Source organism: Homo sapiens, chromosome 8, assembly GCF_000001405.40.
Source record: "Homo sapiens chromosome 8, GRCh38.p14 Primary Assembly".
Taxonomy (NCBI): Eukaryota; Metazoa; Chordata; class Mammalia; order Primates; family Hominidae; genus Homo; species Homo sapiens.
Window position 1 is genome coordinate 51,939,876 of NC_000008.11, and position 11,003 is coordinate 51,950,878.

Genomic DNA, 11,003 nt, shown 5'->3' on the forward strand with positions numbered 1-11,003 from the left:
AGCAGGACTGAAACAGCCTTTGCAAAATTATGACAGTGAGAAAAAATTGACATCAGAACATTATCACAGTAAAGAATCTGCTTGCCTCTAACCTCCAGCCTACCCATATTCATTCCTGGGCACAGGCCAAACTAACTTTGGAAGGAATTTAGTTTATAGTTTAACTTTTTATTTTTTTTTTTCTGAGAGAGTCTCACTCTATCGCCCAGGCAGGAGTGCAGTGGTGTGATATTGCCTCTCTGCAGCCTCCGGCTCCCGGGTTGAAGCGATTCTCCCACCTCAGCCTCCAAAGTAGCTGGGATTACAGGTGTGTACCACCACGCTCGGCTAATTTTTGTATTTTTTGTAGAGATGGGGTTTCACTATGTTGGCCAGGCTGGTCTCAAACTCCTGACCTCAAATGATTCATCCTCCTCTGCCTCTCTAAATGCTGAGCCACCACACTCACCTTATAGTTTTACTTTGAAACAAAGATACTAATAGCCCTTTCCAGGACAAACAAAACAACAACAACAACAACAAAACAAACCCTCCTTGAGCCAAAGACCCCAAGATTCCCAACCTCCCCAATTGCTCCTATGGATAACATCACTACTGTAAAATCTCAGATTGGTGTTTGAGGTATTTTTTCCAACCCTGCATTCTGATAGCTCAACTGGCACCACCCAGACTAGTAAAGTGGCTCAACTGGTTGTGTGGCCCCCACCCACAAACTGACTCAGTGTAAGAAGATGGTTTCGAATCCCTGTGATTTCGTTCCCAACCCGATCAATCAGCATTCCTCGTTTCTCAGTCTCCTGCCTGCCAAATTATCCTTTAAAAACCCTAGTTCTTTATAACTTAAAAAACAGACTGATTTGAGTAAAGTCCAGTCTTTCACCTATCCAACTCTCTGTGCATTAAACTCTCTATTGCAATTCTCATCTTGATAAACTGACTGCATCTGGGCAGCAGGCAAGAGGAACCCATTGGGTGCTTACAGGACCTTTGTGATTTTGTGCTGCTTGTCTCAAGTTGTAGGTTCAGGATATGATGGTGGAGACAAATGACCAAGTTCTGCTTTTGGTTAGGCCCAGAGGGCATCACCTGTGCATTTCCATGCAGACTCCACATTGTGAGATGCAATGCCACAGTCCCACCTGTCTGACCACTTCCTATAGTAAGAGATATCCTGCAGATGACTCCAGCCAAAGACGTTGATGGCAAAACCAAATCAAAACAGATAACAGAAACAGGAGGAGGAGCCAATATTAGAAAAAAACAAGTCACTGATGTCAGTAAAACCACCGTGATAAATACTGTGGAGAAAGAGTGGTCATGAGTTGGACTCACTCAGATCAATAAAGCATTTTATACCTGGTGCTGTTCCTAGTTGCTTGCGTGCAGCAGCATGCCAGAAGTAGAATGAAATCTGTGGAAATCTTATAACTACTAGCTTCTGAGTATATGTCCTTTCTAATTTGTAGAGGAAGATTGATCCTAAGATAATTACCTGAAATTAAAGAGGATATCGACATCTATATTTCCACCCTTGACGTCTTCCCTAAGCTCCAGATTCATATATCCAGCTGTCTCTTGGAAAAAAACCAAACTCATTATGTTTCCCCAAACTCATTCGTCTTTATATATATATTTGTATATATTTAATGTGTATATATGTGTGTATAAATACACTCACATATGTGTGTGTGTGTATATATATATATATATTTTTTTTTTTTCTTTTAGAGACAGAGTCTCACTCTGTCATCCAGGCTAGAGTGCAATGCTGCTATCGTATCTTATTGCAGGCTTGAACTCCTGGGTTCAAGGGATCCTCCCACCTCAGCCTCTCAAGTAGGTAGGAATACAGGAGTACAGGAGTGCACCACCATGCCTGGCTATATATATTTTTTCAATCTCACCTCATTTATAGTTACGAACTCATTGTACATGTAGTGCTAGTACAAATTAGAAATTAAATCAATATTTTTTAAACTAAACTGACCCTGATGATGTAAGTTCACGTCAGTTAGGATCCTTTCTTCTACTTTTAACATATTCTAAGCTCAAGAAATCAGAAGACATATTTTTCCTTAGGAATGTTCTTAAGGGACACTTTTTCCCTTTCTATAACCCTCAGACAAACTCCAACATTGTCTATTGGGAATAAATAACACTCAGTGAAGAAAACTGGAAGAAGAGGAGAGAGGAAAGGCAAGGCCATCCATATAATGAAGAGAATGTTGTCTAGAAATGAAAATGACTAAGAGAAGGAATCATGTAAGTCAACCAGCAACAAAAGCCATTCTACGATTGCAGAACTCAGGTTAGGGCCTACAAATGGTGATAAGTTGACCTCTAAGTTCCCCAAGGCAGAGGGAAGTGGTGGGTTGAAGCGTTGCAGGGTAGGATACTCGGAGGATCTCCTCAGAGTGTGGCATCCTGAGCCATTGCTGCGAGTCGCTCAGATGCGCTGTGCATGCCTGACAGGGCATGATGCTTGGCCATATATGGGCCACAGGAAAAAACTTCTCCTTCACCCTCTGAAGATTCACTAAAAAATGAACTCGCAAAAGGCAGATATGTTGGAGAAAAGGCATATAGATCTATTAACATGCACACAAGGAGAACCACAGAGTACTCACCCACCTCCTAATGGGGTTCAGAAGCTTGTCTGCCATCCTGGCAAAACAGGGTGTGGGAGGGAGAGAAGAGGAATTCTGTTAAGGGGATTACTAGGAAGAATAAATAGATCAGAGAATAGAGATTAATTTATATGTTGTCTTGTGAGTGGGTCTGTTCAGGCATGGTTACATTCTTGGTCTTATAGGGAGGGGAATTTAAAACAACTGTTCTCCTTAATGGGTTTGGCTATTAGGCAGATAAAGAAATGTTAACTTCCTTCTGTGCTTTGGGAGAAATGGTAGGAGGTGGGCCGGGGAGAAAGACCTTGAGGCTTCTTCAGTTCAGCATGTCAATGTGCCATATTGTTGGGGTATTAACTTCTGAGCCCCAACAACCAGCGCCTCACCTCGTAGGACGCCTTGCCTGGGCACTTCCTTCTCTGCTTTCATGGCCCCTACTGCTCCTGAAATTGTATTGTCCCTGGTCCCCTCTCCACTCACTGCGAATCTTTGAGGTCCTAGGTAAAACAAGGCAGCACACAGGACTGCTTAGATCTGCCCACCAGGTCTCATGACCTCCCAGCCACACGGGCTGATTGTTTCTGCTCCTTGAAAACTCCGGGCATGTTTCTGCCGGCAGACCTCTGCACCTGGGGCTTCCTCCTGTCATTCAGGATCTGCGCAAATCTCACCTCACAGAGTGCTTCCCCAGTCACCCAATGCGGAGTAACATCCATGTCATATCCCTCTTTAAGACACTCTTCATAGCACTTATTGTTGATGTTGAGAAAAGAAAAATAGCTTAGCGCAGTCTGCACTATGTGAAGTATGCAGGTGCAGAGAGACAGGAGCAGGGCCTGCAGTCATTCCACCCTGCTCCCACCGTGGTTTAAAGCCATTTAGTTCCTGACTAGCCGCCTCACCCAGTATCTTCATGTTGCAGGAGTTTGTGATACAAAGAACAGTATGTAGTCCATCAATAGCTTATGTTATTTTAATGTAATTTTTTGCTAAACAACTGAGGAACTGCCTCTTTCTTTTACTTTAAAAACCTATTTGTAACTGTTGCTAACTGGATGTATGTTGAGGGCAACTCCAACCTATGGAATTGCAACTGAAACCACCTTTGCAAAGATTACGATTACTACAGTGACAGAAATCTAACAGGGCTGACTCCATCTTGCTTCTGACCACCTAGCTGTCCCGGTTAATTCCTAGGTAGAGGCCAAGCTAACTTTGGGAGGGATTTTGTTTCTAGTTCAACCTTAAAACAAAGATGATAATAGCTCTTCACAAAACTAAACTGCATTTGTAAAACTAATGAAAGTCCACAAGAATAAGATTATGAGAGGGGCCTGAACTCTGCTAAGATGTAGGTGTCGTTTCTATAATCTCTTACTGCTCCAGAGTCATGTGGCAGAAGGCACAGGATTCATGACTTCCCCAATTGCTCTTATAAATAACATCATGATTGTGGAAGCTAAGATTGATTTTTTGAAATGTTTTTCAAACTGACTGTATCCGGACGATGACTCATGACCCATCAGGTCCTGGGGCCCACCCAGAGGACCATTTTCCACATCTCTATGATTTCCTCCCCAACCAATCAGCACCACCCATTCCCTAGGTCCCTGCCCACCAAATTGTCCATAAAAACCCTAGCCTCTGAGTCCTTGGAGTGTCTGATTTGAGTAATAGCTCTGTCTCCCATGTGGCAGTCTCATGTCAATTACTCTTTCTTTCCTGCAATAGCATGGTCTCAGTGAATTGGTTTTGTCTATGCAGCAAGCAGGAAGAATTCATCTGGTAATTACACAACCCTCAAGCTTGGCCCAGATAAACTCTCTTATATTAGTTTTGCCTCAGGTTCTTCCTTTTAGCTCAATAATATTATTATTTTTTTATTTGCTTACTTGTCAGTTGACTGTTGTCCCCACACAAGAAAATAAACTGCACAAAAGGAGGCAGCTGAACTCTCATTTATTGGTGTAGATTCAGGATCTAGAGTGGTGCATGCAATTCTTGGAGCTCAACCAATGGTTGTTAAGTTAGTGGATAAATAAAATGCTGACTTGATGTAGCATCAGCATCATGGGGTAAAACATTGTATCTCAATCTTACTTCAAAGGAGATTTTGGTCAAGGCTCCGCTATAAACAAAAATCTTCCTTCTCTTAACATGTAAAGTCTATTTACTAACTTGTAAAGACCCCTTTCTAACTTGGAGAGGGTGAAGGCCTGACAAGATAAGACAGAAGGCAGGTTATCTGAGGGAACTCTTGAGTAGAAAAGGAAATTGACAGCCCAAAGCCTATGACAGTGTCTAATCCTGGAGATTAAAGTGGGGGAAATGCCACTGAAAGCAGGTCTGGGTTTCAGAGCTCCCTCCCTCAATTGTGATGCATACTATAAGATCACAGTTCTGAGGTTCTGATTAGCATGTCTTTTTTTTTTTTTTGAGAGAGAATCTCGCTTTGTCGCCCAGGCTGGAGTGCAGTGGTGCAATCTTGGCTCACTGCAACCTCCGCCTCTCAGGTTCAAGTGATTCTCCTGCCTCAGCCTCCCAAGTAGCTGGGACTACAGACGTGCACCACCACGCCCAGCTAATTTTTGTATCTTTAGTAGAGACAGGTTTTGCCATGTTGGTCAGGCTGGTCCCGAACTCCTGACCTCAAGTGATCCACCCACCTCAGGCTCCCAAAGTGCTAGGATTACAGGTATGAGCCACTGCACCTGGCCAAGCATGTCCCTTTAAATCTCACCTGGTATCACAGGGAGAGAGGGAATGAGAAGGGGTTTTAAAAGGACATGCTTTTAAATAGACATGCTTTTGAAACCCTCCTCATTCCCTTTCTTCCTATAATACCAAGTGAGAAAAGATAAGAACTTGTGGCCGGGTGCAGTGGCTCACGCCTGTAATCCCAGCACTTTGGGAGGCTGAGGTGGGTAGATCATGAGGTCAGGAGATGGAGACCATCCTGGCTAACACGGTGAAACCCCGTCTCCACTGAAAAATACACAAAATTAGCCGGGCATGGTGGCGGGCACATGTAGTCCCAGCTACTCGGGAGGCTGAGGCAGGAGAATCGCTTGAACCTGGGAGGCGGAGTTTGCAGTGAGCCGAGATTGTGCCACTGCACTCCAGCATGGGCAACAGAGTGAGACTCCATCTCAAAAAAAAAAAAAAAAAAAAAAGATAAGAATTTTTGTCTGAAGACTATGAGTCCTTTTAAACAATCAGGCCCAGAGTGTAAATCTGAGGACTATGTGTCCTTTTAAACCATCAGGCCCAGAGATTTAAAACTTCTTCTCATTCCCCCTCTCCCTATGATACTAGGTGAGAAAAGATAAGATAAGAACTTTTATCTGAGGACTATGAGTCCTTTTAAACAATCAGGCCCAGAGAGACATAATGAGACAGGAATCATGTCCTACTTCCCCACTGAGCTACATATTCATGTCTTCAAATTGCTTGCGGGTGGACACAGTGGCTCGTGCCTGTAATCCCAACACTTTGGGAGGCCAGGACAGGAGGATCACTTGAGACCAGGAGTTCAAGACCAGCCTGGGCAACAAAGTGAGAACCCTGTCTCTACGAAAAATAAAAATAAATAAATAAATAAATAAATAAAAACCTGCTCGCTCTTGCCACAAGTAGCTATCAATTAACCTAATAATGCCTCACTGGACACTATAACCCATACCCAGTAGCTTAACAAGGTATAGCCAATCACTATTTAATGTCATTTCTGTAAACCAATGTGAATTCCTGACAAATACTTCGTATGAGTCCACTCCCTATCCCCCTTTTCTGCCTTTAAAAATCTACTTGTAACTGCTGCTACTCAGAGTGTATATTCGGGGCAACTTGAATAATGCTCTTGGGTTGCAGTTCTCAAGCTTGGCCCAAATAAACTATTTCTGTTAATTTTGCCTCCGTTTCTCTTTTTTTTAGGTCAACACAGATTCTCGGAATTAAACACTTCCATGTCCCAGAGGATCAAAGTCACTTGCAAAAATACCTCAAAATGTGTTTGTCAAGAAATTACACTTTCTCTTGATTTTGTGGACCACTTTCTAATTTCCAACCCAGACAAAAGCCTCCTAGTGAAGCTGGTCTTTCCTAGCACATCCCCCTACCCCCCCAGCCACTGTCCCATCCCTGGATGGCCTGTCCACAGAGAGCACTGTCTGTGTGGCCACTGGGGGAGGCAGCTGCATCCCAGAGATGATGGTGTCCAGGGCATGACGAGGAAGCTCTTTGTGTGGCCTGGAGACGTCCCGGGAGCTGGCTGGCGCCCACCTTCTCTCACTTCCTTACCACCTTCTTTCTTGTGTTGCTGCTTTCTCCTTCCCAGCTCTAAACTCCCATGGTGCTGGAGCAGCCAGAGAAGAAGTGTTACTAGACCTGCCACTGCTACCTACAGTGAGCCCCATTCTGCACACAGAGGCTGCGGACTCCTTTTTCCCAATCATAGACCAGAATGCTTGTGAAAGAAGATGTGGCTGTTCTGCAGGTTGGAGCTCTAGGATCGGAAGAACTCATCTGTATCACATATGATCCAGCTGAAAGTCCCTACAAACTGGGCCCTCTGTGTCTTTAGAAGCAGCTTCCAAGGGCAGGAAGACTTCCAGAGTGCAGGACTGAGCGTGCTGCTAATCTTGTTCTGGTCGAGAGACTGATGAGAGAGACAAGAATTATGGCGCGAGAAAAGCAGCAGCAGCAGCAGCAAGTCTGCAGAGGGGAATGCCAAACTCGCTACTGGGTGTTTTTTTTTGTTTTGTTTTGTTTTGTTTTGTTTTGTTTTGTTTTGTTTGATACAGAGTTTCACTCTGTCACCCAGGCTGGAGTAGAGTGGTGCCATCTCAGCTCATTGCAACCTCTGCCCCCTGGGTTCAAGCAATTCTCCTGCCTCAGCCTTCCGAGTAGCTGGGATTATAGGCATGTGCCACCATGCCTGGCTAATTTTTGTATTTTTAGTAGAGACAGGGTTTTGCCATGTTGGCCAGGCTGGTCTCAAACTACTGACCTCAAGTGATCCGCCCGCCTGGCCCCCCAAAGTACTGGGATTACAGGTGTGAGCCACCATGCCTGGCCTGCTGTGATTTTTCATTGAACCTAATTAACTCATTTTTAGCCCCTATTTTTGGTACAATAATAGAACTTAGGTTGTAATCAACTGGTGGGTTCTTTCCGCACACTGCACAGATAAGATCAGTCCACAGAGACCACAGCGTTGCAGTAAAGAAAGAGTTTGATGTGAGGCCAGCCACGTGGGAAAACTGGAGTTATCACTCAAATCAGTCTCCCCAAAGGCTTGGAGGTCAGGATTTTTGTGGACAATTTGGTGGGCAGGGAGCTAGGGAATGGGTGTTGCTGATGGGTAGGGGGTGAAATCATAGGGGTGTGGAAAACAGTCCTGATGTGCTGAGTTTTCCTCTGGGTGGGGCCACAGGACCAGCTGAATCATGAATCCAGGTGGGGCCAGTGTGAAGAACGTATCAAAAAATCAATCTTAGGTTCTACAATAGTGATGTTATCTATAGGAGCAATTGGAGAAGTCACAAAGCTTGTGACCCCTGGCCACATGACTCCTGGGCAGTAAGAGATTACTATGTCTACATTTTAGCAGAGTTCATGCCTTTCCCACAACTCTAATCTTGTAGCCCTTCATTAATCTTACAAAGGCGGTTTTCAGTCCCTGAGCAAGGAGGGGTTTATTTTTGGGAGGGACTATTATCATCCTTTATTTCAGGTTAAACTATAAACTAGATTCCTGCCAAAGTTGGCTTGGTCTACGTCCAGGAATGACAAGGACAGCTGGGAGGGCAGAAGCAAGATGGAGTCAATTATGTCCAATTTATCTTACTGTCATAATTTTTCAAAGGCAGTTTCAAGGTTACTATTCTCATGATTCAACACATCCTCAAGGAGTGAGATTCAGTCTGTGTAAGTGTATCATGACTTTCTATAACACGCCTTGTCATGCACTCTTCTACCCTGCTAGAATTGGAGTCTGGCCTCAGCTGGTTCCTACCAGCAGTACTGCCATCACCTCATCCTCATCTGCCCCATCTGTTGTTTTGGAACCACTTGTGTCCTCTGAAATGCATATGTTGAAGTCCTAACCACCTGTGCCTCAGAATGGGACTATGTTTGGAGAAAGGGTTTTAAAGAGGTACTTAAAGTTAAATGAGATCATTACTGTGAACCCTGATCCAAATTGACTTATGCCCTTATAAGAAAAGGAAATTTGGCCACTTACACTCACAGAGGAAGAAATCATTTGAAGACACAGAGAGAAGAGGGCCGAGGAGAGAGGTCTCAGAGAAACCAACCCAATGACATTTCGTCTTGGATTTCCAGCCCCCAGAATTACTGGAAAATACATTTTTCTTGTTTAGGCCACCCAATCTGTACTACTTTGTTATGGCAACCCTAGCAAACTAATGCAGTCACCAACCCAGGGTGAAAATGGGACATTCCCAACTCTAGCTCTTAGGCCAAGCTTATTTGTAATAGATTCTTGTTTTCAAAGGATATAGATATTGAGATTCTCAATGTATTTGTTAAAATACATTGTTTCTTGTTAAAAGCATAAGACTTTGAAATGTCTCTGTGTTGCAGATATGTAGATGTTCTGAGCCATAATTTTTGGAAAATTCTTTCAAAGAAAAGGAAATCTACTGGACAAATAGCATGATTAATGGGGATCTAGTGACAAAATAATCTGCCCTAATTGGATTTGTGATGTTTTTGCAACTTGAAATTAGCTTCAAAATCCAACAATAATACGAAAGAATGTTCAGTATCACGAATCAAATTAAAACCATAATTAAATCACCTCCTTTCATTAGGGTAGCTACTATAAAAAAAAAGTAAAACAAAACAGAAAATAGCAACTGTCGGCAAAGATGTGGAGAAATTGGAACCCTTGTGAAACCATCCCACAGTGTTGACAAGAATTGCATGCTGGGTTCTGGACAGAAATAGTTCCAATTAAGTACTAATCAGTCTGCACTTGGGCCCACTTACTCGTTGTTAAAAGTCATGTAGCCCTGGATGCTGACCATGTACATCTGCATTGTTCCTATAGATAAGATCTCTGACATTAGAATCATAAGGCTTTTGTTTAAGGATCACTTATGATGTTTTTCACACCCCAAATTCCAGCAGCCAGTTTGAAGACTCCCACAGAGTAATGGGATCAATATGAGAATACAGCTTCTTCATCTCCCTATCTCATGACTTCACCCTCTACTCTTCCAACCAATCAGTGATCTCCACATTGCAGCCCATTCCAACACTCTTAAAAACCCCTACCCCCAAATGCCTCAGGGAGACAGATTTGAGGTTTCTTCTCATCTCATTTAGTGACCCTATGATTAAACCCCTTTCCTTGCTACAACCTGGTGTCTCAGCTTATTATTTGCTGTGTGCATGGGGCAATGAACCTATTTCAGTTACACTTGTGCACTGTTGGCAAGAAGGTAAAATGGTACAGCCACTATGGAAAATGGTATGAAAGTTTCTCCAAAAATTAAAAATAGAATTCTCATGTAACCCAGCAGTCCCACTTCTGGGCATATATATCCAAAGGAAGTCAAATTAGTATCTCAAAGAGACCTTTGTACACCCGTGTTCATAATAGCATTATTCACAGTAGCCAGAAGTTGGGAACAATCCAATGTCCATTGACAGATGCACAGATAAACAAAATACGGTATATACATAACAATGGAAAATTATTCAGCCTTGAAAAAAACTGAAAGTCTGACATGTACTATAACATGAGTGAACCTTGAGGACAGTATGATAAGTGAAATGAGTCAGAAGCAAAAAGACAAATATTGTATGATTCCATTTACATAAGGTACCCAGAGTAGTCAAATTCATAGAGATACAAGGTGTCTGCTGGAATGGCGGTTGCCAGGGGATGGGGGAAGGGAAAATGGGAAGCTGTTGAAATGAGTCCAGAGTTTCAGTTTGGAAATGATGACAGAGCTCTGGAGATTGGTTGCACCACAATATGAACATAGTTAACACTATGGCATTGTACATTTAGAAATGATTAAGATGGAAAATTTTACGTTAGATGTATTTTACCACAACTAAAAATTTAAAAGAAAGAAAAAAACAGCTATGAAGATTTCTAAGTCTTGGGCCTTATTTTGCCATGAGGAAAAATAAATACATCCCATAAAAAAAATCCTAAATGGATCTGGTAATGTTATTCTGTATGTAAAGTCATTTTCTTGAGCAACATAGGAAATAGTCTTTAATCTTTTGGAATATCATAGGAAAAAAAGCGGCTAAAAGTCACATTGTTCTGCCTCAATTCACCAGAGTTTTTATGGAACTCAATTATTGGTTAACAGTGGAAGTTCTTGCTGGATA

The 11,003-nt window shown here is 42.7% G+C and overlaps 1 long non-coding RNA gene across 3 annotated transcripts in view; it reads left to right on the forward strand.

Moving 5' to 3' along the window:
• PCMTD1-DT (PCMTD1 divergent transcript) overlaps positions 1 to 10,014 on the forward strand; it is a 50,575-nt gene extending 40,561 nt beyond the window's left edge. For 2 of the 3 annotated variants that reach the window (NR_189277.1, NR_189278.1), the window contains one exon: positions 6,561 to 10,014. This is a non-coding gene — a long non-coding RNA (PCMTD1 divergent transcript). Of the gene's footprint in view, positions 1 to 2,122; positions 2,263 to 6,560 lie in introns of all 3 variants that reach the window. The other variant, NR_189279.1, reaches the window with a different exon arrangement.
• The last annotated feature ends 989 nt before the right edge of the window (positions 10,015 to 11,003 follow it).